Source organism: Homo sapiens, chromosome 14 (assembly GCF_000001405.40).
Source record: "Homo sapiens chromosome 14, GRCh38.p14 Primary Assembly".
Taxonomy (NCBI): domain Eukaryota; kingdom Metazoa; phylum Chordata; class Mammalia; order Primates; family Hominidae; genus Homo; species Homo sapiens.
The window spans coordinates 54,497,005-54,519,489 of NC_000014.9; the positions used below are offsets into that span (position 1 = coordinate 54,497,005).

Genomic DNA, 22,485 nt, shown 5'->3' on the forward strand with positions numbered 1-22,485 from the left:
CAGGCACAAGCCACCACGCCTGGCCACTGCTTGACATGATTTTTAAGGCTAATCATGACATTATTATACATTCTTCTTTTAATTTAAATCTTTTTGAAAAATTGTTAAGAATACGCGATCTCTAAAGTTCTTTTTCTCTTAATGGTGTACTCAGTTCTGATAGACACTCAATTCAAAAGCCTTTTAGAGCCCAGATGGTAATCTTTCAGGTTTTGTTTTTTTTTTTTTTTTAACTATATAAGCTAAAGGTATTTCTAGAGAGATGGTAAAGGAGGCATCTTCATGGTCCCCAAGAATTAACTCTCAGAAATGAGCTTAAAATAGCAAAAGATGACAAAAGCCCCATAGGGATGGGACATCTTAAGACAAAACTCACCCCAGGCCTTGACACCTTCGGACCAAGAGTGTGCTGACTCATCTCAACCTCCTGGTCCTTTCAGACTGGCCTCCTGATATGAACCTGATAATTCCTGCCCTCTGGATGGAAGAGACCACGAGAGAGTATCCCCATATGGTAACAAGGTCATGCTCCTAAGGACATAAAACAAGATGAGAGGGAAACCTCATCCACTTTTTGTTCAGGGATCCACAGCAAAGTTTGTAACTAACCAGTTTGCCAGGCTGCTGAAAGCAGCAGGCTTTTATAAGTCCTAAGCCTGCGTTCTATCCTGTGGTATGCTTCTCCTTGATAGAATTACATAGAAAGACAAATTCACAGCTCAAAGTACACCAGATTCACTACAATCTAAAACTTGTCACACAAATCCCTGTTCCCATTAATTAAAACCTTGCAGAGGAGACAAACAATGATTTTCACTATTCACTTAACTGGTTTGCACAGAGAGAGGGAGGCCAGAAGCCTGGCTAGTAAGTAATCCTTACCCTTTTACAGGCATGCCAGAGGTTTGGGTTATCTTTCTCTGAATGGCTCAGGTGACCCTGCTCTCTGTGCCATACCTGTGGGGGCCAAGATGCCTACAAAAGAAAATCATCTTTTCTGTTTTATGGAACCATAGGCGAAAGCCTCTCAAATTTAAATTTATGAAGTTAAGTTTACTTATCTCTATAGTTGCAGGTTAACCATTTGAACTCTGAACTTTTCCTGTTATGCAGAGAACCAATACTGGCAGTCGCACCCAGGCATCCCTGGTGCCTTCCTGAAGACTAGATGGGCGTCCCCAGCACTGTGTCTCAGGCAGTCTCCCCAAACCGACAGGACTATACATTTGTACAGACAGAAACTCTAAAAGATTACAGGCCTAGGGAAGTGACATAATGAGGGGTTTCAAATAGTTACAGGATCAAAGTTCAGGGTGCCAGAGAGGGAGAGAGGAAAAGAGAGAGAGAGAATTTTTTTCTTGGGATTTGAGCCAACAACAACTTAGGCCAGGGAGGGATGTGACCTGTCCCAATGCCGGCTGAGTTAATCAGACCTGGATAGTCAACTGTTTTCATCCTTCCTGCATGGGTGGCTATTCAGGTGACCCAGACCAGTAAACTAGGGAGGCTGTTTCAACCCGTCCCTCATAGATGTCTATTCAAGCAACCCAAACCAGTAAGGATTAGGAGAGGAGAGGCAAAGCGCCCTGAGTGACAGAAAAGATAGGAAGAGGAAAGGAGACAGAGGGAGGAAAGGGAAGGGAGAAAGGCATCGTCTGTGTGGGGAAGGTGAGGAGTTCCAGGAGGCTGGAGAAAGACTCACCCATTGCGGTGACACTGAATCAAAACTTCAGGCAGCTGCTTGTCAGCCATAAAGGGATCTTTTCCAGCAGTCCCGTCACCTCACAAGTCACCCTCTCAGATAGAGAAAGGCTCTCCACGTCCTGTGATCTTGGATGAGTCCCCAAAGAATATGTTACTGACCACGAGTTTTGGGGCTCTCAATGCAGTAGGAATTGACATGAGGCCAAAATAGTTTCCCCAGACAAGGCTTCATTGGAGTTTATGTCCAGGCATAATGGAGGCAGCACGAGACAGACAGAGAATTCCCTGACTCAACCTCTGAAAAGAGCTGGTGGGGCTTTTTTATTAGGCAATATTAAATACATTTATATAGCCTATCTCCAATTAATTTGCCTTTTGTCAGTTGATTTTTCAGCAAAACTTCAGAGGGCAAAGGGGAAGTTTCCTCTTGGCTCAAACACCCTTTTCCTTCTGTTTTTGTTTTTTTTTTAATGTTTTCCAGGCCAGGCACGGTGGCTCACACCTGTAATCCCAGCACTTTGGGAGGCCGAGGCAGGCGGATCACGAGGTCAGGAGATCAAGACCATCCTGGCTAACACGGTGAAACCCCATCTCTACTAAAAATACAAAAAATTAGCCAGGCGCAGTGGCAGGTGCCTGTAGTCTCCGCTACTGTGGAGACTAAGGCAGGAAAATGGCATGAACCCGGGAGGCGGAGCTTGCAGTGAGCCGAGATTGCGCCACTGCACTCCAGCCTGGGGGACAGAGCAAGACTCCGTCTCAAAAAAAAAACAGAAGTTTTCCAAACAGTATAAGCTATAAAATGGCTGGTCTCATACAGACCCAAAACAGGCTGCAGAGACTGATGTATTCACAATGAGGCCAAATTGATGAAAATGTGATTTAGTATATGAGAGGAGTGAAATGAATATAGACTATTTGCACTCAGTCTATAGAATATATTTAATCAGAAAAACATATTTTTATTTACAATGAGGTTTGGGAATGCCATTCTGGCTTGGGTTATTGTAGGGTAAGGAGCAAGTTCCAGAATGTTTTCCAGCACTTTTCTGCCATGGAAATAGCCCTAGCTCACCTCTGTAACAAACACAAGAATCCATCAGTATTAAGCCATGTCGAGTTCACCAAAATGTGCTTTATCTCACGAAAAGATTTGACGTAAGACAAGATCAGGGTAGAAAGAAAAGGAGTATTCTAATTAAAAACTGGGGAAAGATCAGAATTAGATTAATCATTTCCGGCTTGAACTTTTCTAAGTTCTTCATTCTCTGAATTAGCAGCCTTGCTGGTATGTTTGTATTGTCAACCTAAAATAATGTAAAAGATCAGGATCCAGTTAAGAGTTTATTCGAGTGCAAGGTATGAGGGTAACAGACTGTCCATGGGCACACAGACACCGAAGAATGGTGAGTAGTTCTCCTATGTGGGGAAAGTGAAGATTGTTTGCCTAGGCAAAAATTGACATGCTGAACAGAATTATAACATGTTCCATAAAAAGGGTAACATACAGACATAAGATTTGATTGGCTACTACTGATTACTCTCTAAAGGGGTTCCTTCACATTCTATTGGAAAGAGGTAAAAATCACAAAGGTGTCTATCTCCAACGTCATTTAGTCTAGGTTTGAATGAAGAATAGGGATTCTGGTCAATGTATAACAACTCAACACAAAGGTCAGGAAGCAACAGTCACGCACTAAAGAAGAAAAACAGCTGTGTTATGTGACTCAGTTTCCAGGGCTGAGCTTTTCTTTTTGGCATAATAAATTTGGAAAGTCCTGAAATTTTATTTTCTTTTCACAATTTTCTTTACATATTCCCACACATTCATTAGTTCAACAAATAGTTTTTTTGTTTTGTTTTGTTTTGCTTTGTTTTGTTTTTGTTTTGTTTTGAGACAAGGTCTGGCTTTGTTGCCCAGGCTGGAGTGCAGTGGCGTGATCTCAGCTCACTGCAACCTTCGCCTCCTAGACTCAAGTGATCCTCCCACCTCAGCCTCCTGAGTAGCTGAGATTATAGGCATATGCCACCACTCCCAGCTAATTTTTTTGTATTTTTAGTAGAGACAGGGTTTCACCATGTTGCTCAGGCTGGTCTCGAACTTGTGAGCCCAAGTGATCCACCTGCCTTGGCCTCCCAAAGTGCTGGGATTGCAGGCATGAGCCACCGTGCCCAGCCAACAAATAGTTTTTGAGGGCCTATTATGTATCCTTCCTGGATGCTAAGGTCCAAAGCCCTTTTCTCCTGGAAGTAACATTCTAGTGGAAATGAGGAAGTGACAGACAAGAGCGTAGTAAGCAATATTGTATGTTAGAAGGTGATTAGTGCTATGGGAGAAAAAATAGGAAAAGGGAGGTTGGGAGTGCAAAGAAGGAGGGATTTGCTATTTTAAATAGGATAGTTGTAGTCCTCACCAGGAAGGTCATGTCTGAGCAAATATTTGAAACTGAGAATAAAAAAGGGGGGACTGGGTGCGATGGCTCATGCCTGTAATCCCAGCACTTAGGGAGGCCAAGGCAGCAGGATCCCTTGAGTCCAGGTGTTTGAGATCAGCCTGGGCAACATTGTTAGACTCTGTCTCTACAAAAAAAACGAACAAAATTATCTCAGCATGGTGGTGTGTGGCTGTAGTTCCAGCTACTCAGAAGGCTGAGGTGGGAGGACTGCTTGACCCCAGGAGGTCGAGGCTGCTTGCAGTAAGCCAAGACTGTGCCACTGCACTCCAGCCTGAGTGACAGAGAAAGACCATGTCTCGAAAAAAAAAAAAAAAAAAAAGAGAGAGAGAGAGATTTTGAAACTGTGGGAATTAGCCATGTGGATATCTGGAGGAACATCCTATGCAGAGGGAACTGCACTGCCAAGGCCATAAGACAGAAGCGTGTATGTTGTTTTAGGGAACAAGAAGATAGTCAAATGACTGGAGCAGAATGAGCTGGGGGTGAGTTGTAGGAGGACATGAGGTCATATTGGGATTGGAGGGCTGGATCACGTAGAGCCTCCTTAAGTGATCACAAGGACTTTGTCCACCCTAGGGTTATGGGGATGGCTGAACACACCCCACCTGACACTGGACAGGTGAGATCAACAGCAGTTTATTGGTCTTATATACTTCCAGCAAAGGGGAAGAGGACACAGCATGGCCCAAGGGTGCTGCACTTGGGAACGGAATGAACAATCAGGAGCTGTGGAACCAGGCTTTGTAGTGAGTGGGATACTCAAGAGGGTGGGATACTCCAAAGGAGTTCAGGGAATGCCACCCCCAAATATGATGCTTTGGTATGCAGATTACTTTGAACTGAGGACACGTGGGGAACAAGAGTTGCAGGCAGAGGCTTTCTCGAAGCATCCTCCAATCTGCCTGAAGATGAATCCTCCAAAAGGAATTCGATTGTCAAGAATCCCCTTTCTGGGAATCTTATTAACCATATCAACCAGGGAAGATGAACTTGGATTGCAGTGGAGGAGACTAGAGGTTGACCCATGCCCAGACAGACTATCACCTATGTTTTTGAAGGCTGCTTTAAGACAACTTTTTTTACCCAAGGGACTTTTTATCTGTATAACAAGACAACATTTATTCAGCAAAATTTCCTCTCCTCGCTTTTCCATAACTTATATCATTATCACCCCTCAGAAGCCCCGAGTCACTGTTCCTTTCTGTAGCTCAGGATGCTATATAAGCTTCAATCATCTGACTCTTCTTCGAGTCTCATATTTTGTGGGATTCTCATGCGTACATCCATTATTAATTATGGCTTTTCTCTTGTTAATCTGTTGCATGTCAATTTAATTTGAGGCCAGCCAAAGAACCTAGAAGGGTAAAGGGAAGCTATTTTTCCCTCCTCTACAGCTCTTTGGTTCCTGCAGTAGGAAGTGATGGGCTTGTTTAAATAATCCTGTGGGCTGGCAGGGAACTGAAACCCACTACTCAGGGATAAGCAGACACCGTGCCTGGTACTCCTGATAAGGAGGGCTGTTTGGCTAGGGGACTTTATCCATGGGAGCGGAGTGGAGAAAGGAACTTGAGGTTAAGCCTTTCCCAATTTCACCAGATGTCAAGACAGCACATAATATTAGATCCTAACTTCAGGGCTTGCACCACAGGAAGTCAAAACTTGTAGAATGACTAGAATGACACCCAAATTTTCTAGTTCTTTTTTTTCTCCTTTACTGTCTGACTCTGACCTAAGCAGGCTGAATCAAAGAAGCTGACTCAGAAAGCAAAGTAGAGACTTTGAAAACTGAGCTGCCCTTCTGTATCTTGATTGTGATTACAGTTACATGACCTCTATACATCTGTGAAAACTCATAGATCTGTACACTAAACATGGTGAACATTACTGTATATAAATAAAAAATTAAATTAAATTTTAAATAAGTTTTTTTCTTTCTTTTTTTCTTTTTTTTTTTTTTTTTTAGACGGAGTCTTGCTCTGTCACCCAGGCTGGAGTGCAGTGATGCGATCTCAGTTCACTGCAACCTCTACCTCCCGGGTTCAAATGATTCTCCTGCCTCAGCCTGCTGAGTAGCTGGGATCACAGGCACACACCACCATTCCCGGATAATTTTTGTATTTTTAGTAGAGACGGGGTTTCACCATATTGTCCTGGCTGGTCTCGAACTCCTGACCTCGTGATCTGCCCACCTCGGCCTCCCAAAGGGCTGTGATTACAGGCATGAGCCACTATGCCCGGCCTTAAATAAGTATTTTTTAAAAAGAAAAAGACTAGACTGTGGAGAGCAGAGACAGAAGAAGGACACTATTCAGGAGGCTACTGTGGTAACCCCGGAAAAGACATGGCCTGGACCAAGGTGGAAACAGTGATTTGGTGCGAAGTGCCCAGGGCCAATAGAATTTTCTGTACCAGGGTTTCTCAACCTCAGCAATATTGACATTGGATAATTGGATACATTTTTTGTTGTGAGTAGGCTGCACTGTGCATTGTAGGATGTTTAGCAGCATTCCTGGCCTCTACCCACTAGAGGCCAGTAGCAACTTCCTAGTTGTGACAAACAAAAATGTCTCCAGACATTGCCAAATGTTGAAGTGGTAGGGAGGAACACTCCGAGTTGAGAATCACTGTTCTAGATGAATGTCCTAAGCTTTGGGCCACAGACTAAATACCACATTAATCATCAGTGTCAGCTCAGTTGGAGCAGGCTTCAGGTAGCCTCCTACCACTTAGTATGTACAGACAACAGAAGCCCAGCATCTGAAACCATGAGAGTTTCAGGAACTTGGAAGTTCAATGGGCTATAAAGAGTTAAGCTGTTAGGTTCTGCCAAACTACTATAAGATTTTTCACAATTCCTGTTATCTATGATGTCATATCAAAATTGCACATTCAGTTCCATTTGCCAGTTTCTCATGTTTGAAACTCAAATTTAGGACCCTTATTATTTATATTCCTACCTATTTATATTTCCAAATTGAGATCTGACCTTCTGACCTTCCAGGAAAGAATGTGGACTATAGAAAGACAATATGAATGAAAGGGTTGGCAGCTCCAAGGCAAATAACATAAGGGAGATTATAACTTTCAAAAACATGTTAATATTTTTGCATTTCTTGGCCAGGCTCGGTGGCTCACACCTTTAATCCCAGCACTTTGGGAGGCCAAGGCGAATGGATCACCTGAGGTCAGGAGTTTGAGACCAGCCTGGCCAACATGGTGAAACTCCACCTCAACTAAAAATACAAAAATTAGCTGAACGTGGTAGCTTGCACCTGTAGTCCCAGCTACTTGGGAGGCTGAGGAAGGAGAATCGCTTGAACCTGGGAGGCGGAGGTTGTGGTGAGCCAAGATCATACCACTGCACTCCAGCCTGGGTGACAGAGTGAGACTCCGTCTCAAAATATATATATATATTTTTTGCATTTCTCTTATGGGACCTTCTCCTTGGTCAGTCAGAAGCATCTATCAGCATCAAAGGATAAATAGAACTGTGATGTCAGAAATTAAAAAGAAAAAGCTAGGCTGGGTGCGGTGGTTCGTGACTGTAATCCCAGCACTTTGGGAGACCGGGGCGGGCAGATCACAAGGTTAGGAGATCGAGACCAGCCTGGTCAATATGGTGAAACCCCGTCTCCACTAAAAATACAAAAATTATCTGGATGTGGTGGTGGGCACCTGTAATCCCAGCTACTTGGGAGGCTGAGGGAGGAGAATCACTTGAACCCAGGAGGCAGAGGTTGCAGTGAGCTGAGATCATGCCACTGCACTCCAGCCTGGGCGACAGAGCAAGACTCTGTCTCAAAAAAAAAAAAAAAAAAAAAAGCAGCTTTTGACTTCTAAAATAAGATGTTTGAATCTCAAGAAACACAGTCATCTTGAAAAAGCCTGACACTACCAAGAAATAAAGGCTTTATAAACTTTTAAAGTTCAGTTAACATTTCAAAATCAAGACCTTGGCAACAGTAAGAGTGGTATTTAATGTATGCCATACGGCAGGGAAAGTGAGGCTATGACATAAGGAAAGTACCTGCCAAGTAGGAGGGTAGGAAAGTCTTCTGCTTGTGATCTGCTGGAGTGTGGAGAGGAGAAAGGGCTAGAGCAGGTGCAGCATCATATCCACCCGTTCTGGCTTCCGCCTTGTTCCGTGAAAAGGCCATAAAAAGCTGAAGGAGCAGAGAAACCAAAGAAGGAGGCAGACAAATCCAGTTTGTTGGTTTTATGTGATTTATTAGGGAAACTTACAGACAGAAATGTTGTCTTGGGCAGCCGCAAGACAATTAGATCTTCGCACTACAACACCCCAGACCCAGGGCTTATATCTTGGGAAAAGAGCATATGTGCTCTGGAAGGAATGTGTAGGTGGCTATGGGTGTCAGAGGAGAGCCTATGATTTCTGTAACAACAAGGGTTGTTTTGGAGGAAACTTAAAATGAATAGATGTTCCTGTTAGAGAAACCCCTGCTTTTCAGGCCTCTGGTTTAATAATGCATGAACAGAGGGACTCCATCTTGAGTGAGTAACTAAGCACTCACAAGGCTTATAAGGTTAATACTTCTGGTCGAAAATAGTCACATCTCAAGCTGACCACCACTTATAAATGCAGAGTATTTATAACCATACAGAGCATCTCCCACCAAGCCTTCAGAATGCCCAGATGTCCTAAGAGTGCAGCCCACTTTGCTTAAAGATACCATTAACTAAGAGGCTTGGGTTGAAGGATTGATTAATGGTCACCTGTAACACCAATAGCCCCTACCTTTAGTGAGCACATCTGCATGTTCCAAGTTTAATATTGCTCCTTTTAGTTTCTTATAAGTATAGAGGCACTAAAAAAGAATGGAATGTTCCTTCTCCTGCTGAAGACTCCTACTTTGTAACAGAGTAGTTTCCAATAAACTTGCTTATTTCACTGTTCTCTCTGACTCGCCTCAAAATCTTTCCTACACGAGATCCAAGAACCTGCTCTTAGGGTCTGCATCGGGACCATCTTTTCCAGCGATGTTTCTACATAAAGAGTAAGTAATCCCAGCACTTTGAGAGGCAGTGGCAGGAGAATCACTTGAGCTCAGAATGTTGAGGCTGCAGTGAGCTGTGATCATGCCACTGTATTCCAGCCTGGGTGAAAGAGCAAGACCCTGTCTCAAAAATTAAAATAAAATAAAGACAGTTTTGTCCCCACATCCCTCCAGGCTGGAATCTCAGGGAAGCAGGTGGTTGTAGCGGAAGCACCCAAATAGGTGGGGTATTGGGGCTGGGTGCAGTGGCTCACGCCTGTAATCCCAGCACTTTGGGAGGCCAAGGCGGGCAGATCACTGAGGTCAGTAGTTTAAGACTAGCCTGGTCAATGTGGTGAAACCCCGTTTCTACTAAAAATACAAAAATTAGCCAGGCATGATGGCGGGTGCCTGTAGTCCCAGCTACTCGGGAGGCTGAGGCAGGAGAATCTCTTGAACCCAGAAGGTGGAGGTTGCAGTGAGCCAAGATTGCTCCACTGCACGCCAGCCTGGGCGACAGAATGAGACTCTGTCTCCAAAAAAAAAAAAAAAAAAAAATTAAAAAACAAATAGGTGGGGTACTGGAGAAACTGAAGAGATCGGAGCTGGTAGTCCACTTTCCCTCTAGGAAAGGAGGAGAGGCCTTACATTTGGCTTGCTTCACACCACCTTCACCATGGTGCTAGAGCAATGGCATTCAGTGGCAGAGGTAGCCTGATTGGGCATCCTGAGATAACTGCTGCTTCTCAGTAGCCTGCATGTGACATATGTGAGAATCTACATGTTTACATATTGCCCCAGTAAGTAACATTGGAGATGGTAAGCAGTCTGGTGAGCTAGTGGAGCTAAGGAGCCATAGCTTATGAGGGTTTTACAACCAGAGGTAAATGGCTGGAACCCTGGATCTCCGCAGTGAGGGCTGGCCTGGTACCACAAAAAGCCAGATGAAACCCGCTTCCCCTTAGTGAGGACCTACAGGTGTCATGCAGAGCTGAGGTCTCATTTTCCTGACCTCCACCATCAGGTCATATGAACACCTTGTACAATCAGATACTGTCTTGGGAAGAATCAAGAGAAGAGAGAGGAGAGACTAAACATTTTCCTAAAGGAGACCAGCTTCCTAAAAGGTGCAATTAAACTTGAAGAGTCTAAGATACTTTTTTTTTTTTTTTTTTTTTGCCGGAATCTTATTCTGTCGCCCAGGCTGGAGTGCAGTGACACAATTTCAGCCCACTGCAACCTCCACCTCCCGGGTTCAAGCAATTCTCCTGCCTCAGCCTCCTGAGTAGCTGGGATTACAGGTGCCCGCCATCATGCTGGGCTAATTTTTGTATTTTTAGTAGAGATGGGGTTTTGCCATGTTGGCCAGGCTGGTCTCAAACTCCTGACCTCAGTTATCTGCCCACCTCAGCCTCTCAAAGTGCTGGGATTACAGACGTGAGCCACCATGCCCGGCCTAAGATACTTTTTATTGATAAATTTAAGCTCACATTGTCTTCTCTTTTTACCCCGTCTAATAGTAGGGTGGGGCTTCTTTCTTTTTCTTCTTTTTTGAGACAGGTTCTTGCTTTGCTTTTTTTTTTTTTTTTTTTGAGACAGCGTCTTGCTGTGTCACCCAGGCTGGAGTGTAGCGGCACAATCGTGGCTCACTGCAGCCTCAACCTCCCTTGCTCAAGCAATCCTTCTGCCTCGCCCAGTTAATTTTTTAATTTTTTGTAGAGACAGGGTCCCACTATGTCGCTGACGCTGGTCTCAATTCCTGGGCTCAAGCCATCTCCCTGCCTTGGTCTCCCAAAGTGCTGGCCTTGGTCTTCCAAAGTGCTGGCATTACAGGCATGAGCCACCATGCTGGGTCTAGGGTGGGGTTTCAAGCTAAACTAGATCAGTTATAGATAATAAAGAACAGTCATTCTTCCTGTTCATCTGAGAGTCAAACTTTTTTTTAAAAAACTCTAATATAGATACTTTGTGCTTCCAAGTAATCTCATGGAGAAAAGCTTATTTCATTTATTTATTAATTCAGTAATATGACTACCCGACATATACTAGGTACCGGTGGCACAAACATCAATTATGTGTCATTCCTGTGCTCAGAGAGCTGGGTTCCTAGCAGGCTAAATACACTAGTGAGCAGGTGCTCACACCAGAAATAAGAGGGCTCCCATACAGTTACATACTGGGTGCTTTGGGAGAGGCATCTCCCCAAGGGTTTGGAAGCATCCAGGAAGGCTTGCTGGAGAAGGGAGCCTTTCAGATTGGCCAATATTTTTGTTAAGTGACAATATCAAATGATGGCAAAACTGTGGATGAAAAACTGGGAATACAAATTGGTACATTTCTGGAGAGCAGTGTTTTTACAAAATCTTTAAAATGTACATTTTTTAAAACCATAGTTCCACCTCTAGTAATTTATCCTAAGGAAATACTTTAGCTGTAGGGATGTTCATTGCAGTGTTATTTATAGCAATGAAAAATTCTCCAACAGTTGAGGGCTGATTAAAGTATATATTTTCACAAATCAGATATATAGTAATTAAAAATTGTGTTGTAGAAGCAAGCTTCTCAAACAGTGCTGCTCCAGAGACTACGTGCTCATTTGCCAAGGAATATGTGAGGCCATAGGACAAACTTAGTTCATCTTTCTCAACACGAATTTTACTGGTGATTTAGGAGTGTGACAGAGGCTACTAGTTAACTATCCCAATGTCCATTCTCTTTCCTCCTCAGTAACAAAACTCTTGATTTGTACCAGGGTGTGTTGCTGCTCACGAATAATAAGACTACATATCCCCATTCTCTGATGTGGCTAGATGTGGCTTTAGGAGTAAATGCAAACCAACGAGGTGTCAATGAACTGTTATGAAAGACTTTCAGGGAGGCCACCTTGATGGAGCTGACTCACAGGGTTGAGACAAGGGAGTGACCATTTAGCTACTTTCAGTAATTTTTAAAAAGCTTCTGTGTGATTTAAAAAGTTTTTTAAAAATTATTCTTAAAGTGGAAACAAATACAGTTTCAAATGTTTGGCTAATTCTAATTTGAGGAGTACAAGAAGAGGAGAAAAGGAGGGGGATGTGGGAGGAAGCGGATGCTTTATTTCTAAGAGAATCTTGGATAAGCAATGCTGATTTTCCTCTATGATTAAGTCCAATCTGAAAAGGCTGACAAGTCTCGTATAAATTGCTTGTGGTAGAGACTCCTTTTTTTGTGTTTTCACTGTGCTTATGGTTATTTCATTTTGTAGAATCCAAGATGCCCGCCCTCCTCCTCCTCCTCCTCCACCCTCTCCCAAATTTGCCTAAGATATAATAGGCAGGGTTTCAGGATTTAGAAACGATGCACGTAGATTTCAGACTGCGCCTCTCTCTGACATCAGAAAACCTACATTGCCTAAGGCTGGCACAGAGTTGGCCCCAAAGTCTACTTAGAATTTGCCGGCGGAACAGCAATGACCACTGGGCCACAGCGCTTAAGACGCCCGCTGGGTACCAATCCTGGGAGTCGGGGGCGGTGCGAGTCGGGCCCCCCCCATCCCAGGTCTGCGTAGCCAATAGCTCGGGACGGGAGCGGGAGGGGCGTGGCGTGTCCGGCAGGGGGCGCCGTGATTGGCACGCCAGCTCCCGCTGTCCGCGAGGCTGCCCTAAAGTCTAGCTCATGAGAACCCCAGGCAAGTGCGGACCTACAAAGTTTGTCCGCTCCGGGGCACTGTAGTGGCTTTTACCCTGGCCGGGCGGGCGGGGCTCAGCCGGGCTGGGCTGGGCTCCGCGGCTGGAGCCGGGCTCTACCCAGAGCAAGACCCTGATGGCTGCGGTGTTTCTGGTAACGCTTTATGAATACTCGCCGCTTTTCTACATCGCGGTGGTCTTTACCTGCTTCATCGTGACCACCGGCCTGGTATTGGGATGGTAAGTGTCCCAGGGGTGAGAGACGAAGGGGCGGATACCGCCAGAGTGGGGTCGCGACGAGCAGCAGGGGGCACCGGAGCCGGAGGGCCGCGGGCCGGAGGACGTCGGGGATTCGGTGTCCCCGGGTGCCTAGAACTCCGACTTTCTCTGGGAGGAAAACAAGGTGGACGCTGCACCTGCGTCACTGCCCTGCATCACCGTTTGGTCCGTGTCGCTGGGGCATCTTGGGGTGGTACCGCATTGGGGTGTTTTACTCAGCTTTGTTTCTAGGCGATAAAGCAGCCAGGAAGGGCTTGGGCTTGGGCTTGGTGTTGGGAGAAAGTGCTTCTCTAGTAGGCTTCTGTCCCGGATTCGGGCCTACTGTGTGTCCTGGATGAGTTAGTCACCTGTGCTACAGTGCACAGACTGGACAGTAAGCGAGGTTAACAGTTGTGATTCTGACCTGAATGGAGCCCTTAGCCTCAGATCTTTCAGAGTAACTTGTAACTGAACTGTTACCGTTTGAGAATTTAATGGTTTCTGTATACATTCCACACCTTTTGAAGTAATATTTAGTCGATAGAATTGTAAAATCATAATTTTAGAGCTGGAAGAGACCTTAGAAATATGTAACACCGAGGGTAGGACAGTTGCCTATTGGAGACAAGGAGAATGGTCTGTTAGATAACCGCTGAGCAATTCTTCTAGCCTAGAGGTTCAATTTCTCTCTTGAGGAGATGCTATTGTATCATGTTTAGACAAGCCTTGTAAATAACGAGTTGAAACCGTGTAACTAGCCCACAACAGTTTTTCTAGGCTGCAGCCTCCAAAATCCCTTTGAGATGATAATAGTTACAAAAAGATCAAACAGCAGTTCTAAGTGGATAACAGCCATGGTCTGAAGAGGTCAGAGGGGACTCTGTTGAAGAGGGACATGAGCTGGATTTTGGAGAATGAGCATTTTGAAAAATAAATGGAGTTAAATGTATATAGTAGGGAAGAAAAAGCATCTCAGAGAAGACAGCATGAGCATAGGGGCAGAGAACATGTTAGTGAATAAAGAAGGCTACGTAAAACGAGTTTTAAAATAGCCTTTGGTCACATATATGTGATTGCCTTAAAGAACACGGGCCCTTGTCGGTTTCTGAAAATATATGCCATCTTTAGGAAGTGACAAAAGTTTTAACCTGTCCACACTGCTCCTCACCCTACCAGCAATAGAGCATAGAATTCCTTGCCTTGTATGTGGGTGAGGATTGGAAATACAAATTCCTTATTTGTGGGGGTAAGATTGGAAAACAAAGACCAATCTTACACAATTGGTTATTCTTGACCCATCAGATTTTATTGCTAATGTTCATTACACAAAAGTTTGTAATTGGAATGAGGAAGGTGTTGCCCATGTGAGAAAAGCAGTCTTAACACAAGATTTTTAAATGACTATAATGTTAGTGTTATTCTCTTAATGAAGCATAATTTTCCTCCACTAAGGAAAATAGTAACTAGTTGATAATTGCCTTATGTGCTTTAATTTTTATTTTAAATAGGCCAACTAATTAGATATCTTAGATATCAATCTTTAGTATTGGGAAGAGGGTAGTCAGGAGCCTCATGTTTGTAGTGGTTAACAGACAGACTTTGGAGTCAGTCAGACATAGGTTCAAATCCTGGCTCTGCCAGCTTTAAGACTTGGTTTGAAAATTTAATAATTGCCAAATCACCCCATTTAGGTAAGACTTTTTACAAGAGTGGAAGCCCATGTAATTATAGAACGTTTGGAAGTCTGGGCTAAGCACTGCTGAGGCCACAAGACCATGTAAATCCAGTCACTTCCATCCTAATTTAGGCCTAACCAGTCATCTTGTGCCTAACCCAACCATTCTCTCCATCCGAGTTAGTTTTGCCCACGTAGATAAACTTTTTACTATGTTTATTTGCAAACTTAAGCCAAGGCCATGTATTTATTGACTAGAAATGATGAAAACTTGGACACCATCTAAATCGCATAAAAACATCTTTCTAATAGTACCAATAGTACCCCAGTCAGAAGGGTAAACTAGTTAATACGCATGTTTTTCACCCTTGTCATTGTTTTGTTTTGTTTTAACCTCCCATAATACCATCTCTACTGTTCATGTGTTTTCTGTCATGGTTTTTCCCTTGGTACTTCTCTGAGTTTTTCACTATTTGCTTCTTTCCACTGTTTGCCATGTCTGCCTGCACTGTGTGGGAGTGGAGAAAAAACAGGAGCATATGATTATTGGAATCCCAATAGCAATAGCAAAGAAGCATGCAACTGGAAATATAGTATTTTTCTTTCACCATGTGGTGGTTTCTGTGATCTCTGATAGCTTTCTGCAGGCACTGAGCACAAAGAAGCCCAAAAGTCCATTTACATCCTTTAACAGTTTCAAATAATCAGGGACCATGACTCCAGTAGCTATTCCCGGCCTCCTCTTGACCACAGTTTATTAAGCTGTTGACCTCAACTTCATACCACCCTCTGCTTTGTGAATCTAGGGCAGAACTCTAAACTACATTTCTTCTTTGCAAGCTGACTGCCCATTGGGCTTTGCCAACAAGGGAGGGAGACTGGAAAGCTGGAAGAGGATGAAGGGACTTGCTGCTTCCTGTTGATTCCTTTTCTTGTCTGTCACTTGCCACAATAGTGCCTCACTCTGGCATTAATAGTTGGTCCCACTTGTTCCAGTTTATGCTTTCCTACTCTGCTAGAATCAGCCTTATGCACTTCCTTAAAGATACCAGTATCCTTTCCTCAGATCTGAGTCCTGAGCTCCATAGAGTCTCTCCTCCACATTTCTAAACTATAGTAAATTCTCTTTATTCTCTTTTCTCTGTTCCCTTGTCCTAGGAGTGATAGCTGCTTCCTGCTGTTACTACTTCTTATCACATAAGTAGGACTCAGTGTCCTCTTTTTGCCTTTTCAGTTCTTCAACATATGGTTAACATTTTTCATATGAAAATTTCTCTTGATGTTGATGCTGACAACTTTAAAAATCAAGTCCAATCTCTCTGTTAAAATAACGGATGCATTTTCAGACTCCTGCCTGGACCCTGACTGATAAAGAAATTGTCACTAAGAATGGGATCCTGGTGAGAAAACTTTCAAAGATAGAATTTGGGGGCATCGGTTTGGTAATTTCTTTAGCTCTTTGCCAATGGGAAATAATCTAGTAACCCACAACATGTAGTGGCATCACAATCAAATTGATACATTTGGTTGATTGTGATAAAATTATTTCTGAAGCTGTGTGCTGGAGGACCAAGTGGCTAAAGCGCTTGACTGTTAATGGCAGTAATGATGACTACAGGGACTGAGGGAGAAGTGAGAAGTGAGATAGGTGCTTCTTTGTTCACTGGAGCACTGACAGAAAGCAAATGACAAACTCAGGTCTTCAAAGCGTTAGATCGGTCAAGTCTTAGAGAATCAAAAAGTTTCCATGGTTCTAAAGCACTTCATTTTGTGTAGCCACGGAAAGACTTGCTAAAAATTGGACACAGTTTTATGTTATGTTATGTTATGTTATGTTATGTTATGTTATGTTATGTTATGTAATGTTATGTTATGTTATGTTATTTTTGAGACAGAGTCTTGCTCTGTTGTCCGAGCTGGAGTGCAGTGGCATGATTTTGGCTCACTGCCTATAATTCCAGCACTTTGGGAGGCTGAGGCAGGAAGACTGTTTGAGCCCAGAAGTTCAAGACCAACATGGGAAATATGGCAAAACTCGGTCTCTACAAAAAATAGAAAAATTAGCCAGGCATGGTGGCAGGTGCCTGAACACAGTTTTAACTGCGATAGTAATAGAATTACCTAGCCTTTGTCAGTGTCTCATTTAGAATATTGTTTGGAAAGAAGTAGAACCCTGAGACTTGGAATGGGGACATCTAGGTAGACATGGACAGAGCTGAGAATCTTGAAAAAAACTCCAGTCACTCTGAGCCTCCATTGTTGACAGAAGCTGCTTACTTTTGAAAATTAGCCTTCTCTTGCTTGAAGATCCTGTAATAACCTCACCTAGGGTAGTTTCTTTGCAAAGGGCTATCCACACTTAAGAGCTACCTCTATTATCTTGTCATGAGGCCCAGATCTCTGCATGTTGCCTAGTATAGGGACAAAATCTGATCTGACTAGAAATAGTCTGTCCTTGAAAAGAATTGCAAAATTTTGCTAATTTATATCTGTGGAATCCTGAGGAATATATGTGAGGATGGATTGTAAGCCGGAGAATAGAATGTAACACTAGATCAGATCATATTTATTCATCTGGGTATATTCTCAAGAAATTCTGCATCTAAAGCGTTAACTCATACTTGTTTGTTTGATGGAAACTTGGACTCATTGGTGGCCTGTATTTTATAACGTTGAGATTTCTGTTGTTGTTGTTTTTAAACATTTAGGTTCAGAGGTACATGTGAAGGTTTGTTACATAGGTAAACTCGTGTCATGGGTTTGTTGTACAGATTATTTCATCACCCAGGTATTAATCCCAGTACTCAATAGTTATCTTTTCTGCTCCTGTTCTTCCTCCTAACTTCCACCCTCAGGTGGATCCCAGTATCTGTTGTTCCCTTCTTTGGGCTCATGAGTTCTCATCATTTAGCTCCCACTTATAAGTGAGAACATGCTGTATTTGGTCTTCTCTTCCAGGAGATGGAACAGAAATGTTGAGTGCCTTCTAATTTCCTTGTAAGTACTGCTTTATCAGCATTCCCCCACATTTTGACACATATGTCTTCATTTTTATTCAGGTCATAATTTAAAATAATTTCCCTTTTGATTTTTTTCTTGACCTCTAAGTTATTTAGAAGTTTGTTATTGAGTTTCCAAATATTTGGAAATTTTAAAGATATCTCTGTTACTGATTTATAATTTGATTCCATTGTGGTTAGCATACTTTTTATGATTTGACATCTTGTAAATTTATTGAGACTTGTTTTATAATCCAAATATATTCTCTCTTTGGTAAATGTCCTAATGCACTTAAAAATAATATATATTCTGCTATTATTGGGTGAGTTTTTTGTTTTTTTTTTTTTTTTTGAGACAGAGTCTCGCTCTGTCACCAGGCTGGAGTGCAGTGGTATGATCTCGGCTCACTGCAACCTCCGCCTCCTGGATTCAAGCAATTCTCCTGCCTCAGCCTCCAGAGTAGCTGGGACTACAGGTGTGCACTACCATGCCCAACTAATTTTTTTTTTTAATTTTTAGTAGAGATGGGGTTTCATCATGTTGGCCAGGATGGTCTCGATCGCTTGACCTCATGATCTGCCCGCGATGACCTCCCGAAGTGCTGGGATTACAGGTGTGAGTCACCGCGCCCGGCCGGGTGAGATGTTTTATAAGTGTCAATTAAGTCAAATTGGTTGATAGTGTTATTCAAGTTTTTGATGTCCTTACTGATTTTCTATATATTGGAGCTATCAGTTATTGAAGTTGTGGGGAGTATTAGAATTTCTGACTATAATTGTGGATTTATCTATTTCTCTTGGCAGTTGTATCAGTTTTTGCTTTATATTTTGAAGTTCTATTAATAGGTACATAAACATTTAGGATTATTTTGTGTGCATGATGAATTGACCCTTATATCACTATGAAATGGACCTCTTTGATCCTGGTAATAGTCTTTGCTCTGAGATCTACTTTGTCTGGTATTAATGTAGCTACTTCAGCTTTCTTTTGATTAGTGTTAGCATATACATCTTTTTTTCATCCTTTTACTTGTAAACTCTTTTTGTCTTTTTATTTAAAGTGGGTTTCTTGTATGCACCATATAGCTAGGTCTTATGTTTTTATCCAATCTGATAATCTTTGCCTTTTAACTAGGGAGTTTAAAACATTTACATTTAATGTGATTATTGATATTGTTAGATTTAATTCCACCATCTTGCTATTCGTTTTTTGTTTGTTTTGTCTGTTCTTTGTTTCTTTTCCCCTCTTTTATTTTACTAGTCTGTTTTTTGTTTCTTTTTCCCCTTTGTTCAGCCATCATTTACATTAGTTAAATAATTTATGTGATTCCATTTTATCTCCTTTGTTGGTTTATTAGCAATAACTTTTTTTAGTGGTTGCTTGAAAGTTTATAATGTATCTCTAACTTATCACCATCTACCTTCAGGTAATATTTTAAAGAGATATAAGAAAAGCATTATAATTCCTCACGTAGTTACCATTTCACTGCTATTTATTTCTTTGTATCAATCCAGATTTTTATTTGGTATCATTTTTCTTCTTCCCAAGGCATACTTTAATTTTTCTTGTTGTGCAAGTCTGTTGGTGATGAATTCTTTTAGCTTTTGTTATGTTTGAAAAAGTCTTTATTTTGCTTTGGAAAAATATAGGTATAGAATTCTAGATTGACAAGATTTTTTTCCTGTTAGTTCTTTAAAGATATTCTGCCTTCCATTGCTTCTTATTAATATTAAAAAGCTACTGACATTCTTATCTTTGTTCCTCTATGTGTAGTATATCTTTTTTTCCTTTTCTTTGGCTACCGTAGCATATCTTCTTTCTTTTTCTTAGGATTTTCTCTATATTACTGGTTTTAAGCAATTTGATTATTATGTGCCTTAGGTAATTTTCCTTGTTTCTTGTGCTTGGAGCTCATTGAGATTCTTGGGTCTGTAGGTTTTTATAGTTTTCAACATGTTGGGGAAGGTTTTCGCCATTATGTGTTCAAATACTTTATCTGTCCTCTGCAAACTTCAGTGATATGTTAAGACTTCAGTTACATGGCTGACTAAAAGTTGGCTTACTGATGCTTTTTGTTGTTGTTGTTGTTCAGTCTTTTTCCTTTCTGTGTTTCAATTTCAGTACTTTCTGTTATGTTGTCTTCAAGATTACTAATCTTTTATTGTGCAATACCTAATCTGCTGTTAATCTCATCCACTATATTTTTTATCTAAAACATTATCTTTTTCATCTCTAAATATTGATTTGGGCCTTTTAAATATCTTCCATGCCTCTATATCATATGTGCAGTCATTACTTTTCTTCTGAAACATATGGAATATAGTCCTAGGAGCTATTTTTATATCCTTGTCTACTAATTCAAGTATCTGTATGATTTCTGGATCTATTTCTATAGAGTTTTGCTCCTCATTGTGGGTACTGTTTTCCTGCTCTTTGCATGCCTGTTAATGTTTTTTTATCAGATGCTATACTTTGTGAATTTTACCTTACTAGGTGCTGGATATTTTTGTATTCCTCTAAATATTCTTGAGCTTTATTCTGGGTCACTGTTAAGTTACTCAGAAATAGTTTAGTCTGTTAGAGGCTTGCTTTTCAGCTTTGTTAGGCAGGACCAGAGCAGTCTTACCCAACTCTTTTATAAAATCAGAGTCATCAAAAGTGAATTTTTATTTCATTTGTTAATTTTATTGGTTATCTTTCAGTGTTAGACTTGTGTGTTTTGAAACTTTAGTTTTCAACCTAAATTTTAGTGGAAGATTCGTTTTGTTTTGTTACTTTTCTCCCTTTGTTATCACCCTCACTGTTTATCCACTTTGCAATTATTATTATTATTATTATTTTTAGTTGAGTATTTTATTTTATTTTTTCCTTCAACTTTTAAGTTCTGGGGTACATGTGCAGGATGTGCAGGTTTGTTACATAGGTAAATGTGTGCCATGGTGGTTAGCTGCACAGATCAACCATTCACCTTGATATTAAGCCCAGCATCCATTAGCTATTCTTGATGCTCTCCCTCCCCCAGCTCCCACCCTGATGGGCCCCAGTCTGTGTTGTTTCCCCTCCATGTGTCCATGTGTTCTCACTGTCTGCTCCCACTTACAAGTGAGAATATGCAATGTTTGATTTTCTGTTCTTGCATTAGTTTGCTGAGGATAATGGCTTCCAGCTTGACGCATTTTCCTGCAAAGGACATGACCTTGTTCCTTTTTATGGCTGCATAGTATTCTGTGGTGCATATGTACCACATTTTCTTCATCCAGTCTATCACTAATGGGCATTTGGGTTGATTCCATGTCTTTGCTATTGTGACTAGTGCTGAAATTAATATATGCATGCATGTATCTTTATAATAGAATGATTTATATTCCTTTGGGTATATACTCAGTAATAGGATTGCTGGGTCAAATGGTATTTCTGCCTCTAGATTTTTGAGGAATTGCCATACTGTCTTCCACAATAGTTGAACTAATTTATATTCCCACCAACAGTGCAAAAGTGTTTCTTTTAGGCCAGGCGCAGTGGCTCATGCCTGTAATCCTAGCACTTTGGGAGGCCGAGGTGGGCAGATCACCTGAGGTCGGGAGCTTGAGACCAGCCTGACCAACATGGAGAAATCCCGTCTCTACTAAAAATACAAAAAAAAATTAGCCAGGCGTGGTGGTGCATGCCTGGAATCCCAGCTACTTGGGAGGCTGAGGCAGGAGAATCACTTGAACCCAGGAGGTGGAGGTTGCGGTGAGCTGAGATCATGCCATTGCAGTCCAGCCTGGGCAACAAGAGCGAAACTCCATCTCAAAAAAAAAAAAGAAAAAAAAAAGTGTTTCTTTTTCTCCACAACTTTGCCAAGATCTGTTGTTTCTGGATTTTTTTAATAATTGCCATTATGACTGGCGTGAAATGGTATCTCATTGTGGTTTTGATTTGCATTTCTCTAATGATCAGTGATGTTGAGCTGTTTTTCACATGTTTGTTGGCTGCATGAATGTCTTTTAAGAAGTGTCTGTTCATGTGGTTTGCCTACTTTTTAATGGGGTTGTTTTTTTCTTGTAAATTTGTTTAAGTTCCTTGTAGACTCTGGATATTAGACCTTTGTCAGATGGATAGATTGCAAAAACATTTTATATTCATTTATACCCAGATTCCTAGACCTCCAGACCAGGACTAGGTTTTTGTTGTTTTGTTTTGTTTTGTTTTGTTTTGTTTGGGACGGAGTTTCACTCTTGTTGCCCAGGCTGGAGTACAATGGCATGATCTCGGCTCTCTGCAACCTCTGCCTCCTGGGTTCAAGCAATTCTCCTGCCTCAGCCTCCCAAGTAGCTGGGATTACAGGCATGCACCACCATGCCCAGCTAATTTTTTTTGTATTTTTAGTAGAGACGGGGTTTCTCCATGTTGTTCAAGCTGGTCTTGAACTCCCGACCTCGGGTGATCTGCCCACCTTGGCCTCCCAAAATGTTGGGATCACAGGCGTGAGCTACTGTGCCTGGCCTTTTTTTTTTGAGACAGAATCTCTCTGTGTTGCCCAGGCTGGAGTGCAGTGGCACAATCTCTGCTTACTGCAGTCTTGACCTCCCAGGCTCAAGCGATCCTTCCACCTCAGCCTCTTAAGTAGCTGGGACCACAGGTGTACACCACCATGCCCAACTAATTTTCCATTTTTTTTTTTTTTTTTTTGTAGAGATGGGGTCTCGCTATTGTTGCCCAGACTGGTGTCGAACTCCTGGGCTCAAGCA

The 22,485-nt window shown here is 42.0% G+C and overlaps 1 protein-coding gene across 1 annotated transcript in view, besides 3 other annotated features; it reads left to right on the top strand.

Annotated features, from left to right (window-relative positions):
- Window positions 12,563-12,992: a silencer, noted in NCBI's record as "silent region_5765". NCBI's record gives its function as "represses an Ori minimal core promoter by ATAC-STARR-seq in GM12878 lymphoblastoid cells {active_cell/tissue: GM12878}" and the evidence as "EXISTENCE:reporter gene assay evidence [ECO:0000049][PMID:35858748]".
- Window positions 12,792-12,977: a silencer, noted in NCBI's record as "fragment chr14:54976514-54976699 (GRCh37/hg19 assembly coordinates)". NCBI's record gives its function as "represses an EF-1alpha promoter that drives an FKBP-Casp9 reporter gene in an ReSE screen in K562 erythroleukemia cells {active_cell/tissue: K562}" and the evidence as "EXISTENCE:reporter gene assay evidence [ECO:0000049][PMID:32094911]".
- CGRRF1 (cell growth regulator with ring finger domain 1) overlaps window positions 12,902-22,485 on the top strand; it is a 29,387-nt gene continuing 19,803 nt past the window's right edge. Inside the window, exon 1 of the mRNA NM_006568.3 lies at window positions 12,902-13,059. Coding sequence (NP_006559.1) covers window positions 12,956-13,059 — 104 coding nt within the window. The 5' untranslated portion in view covers window positions 12,902-12,955. The remainder of the gene's footprint in view (window positions 13,060-22,485) is intronic.
- Window positions 13,153-13,382: an enhancer, noted in NCBI's record as "active region_8412". NCBI's record gives its function as "activates an Ori minimal core promoter by ATAC-STARR-seq in GM12878 lymphoblastoid cells {active_cell/tissue: GM12878}" and the evidence as "EXISTENCE:reporter gene assay evidence [ECO:0000049][PMID:35858748]".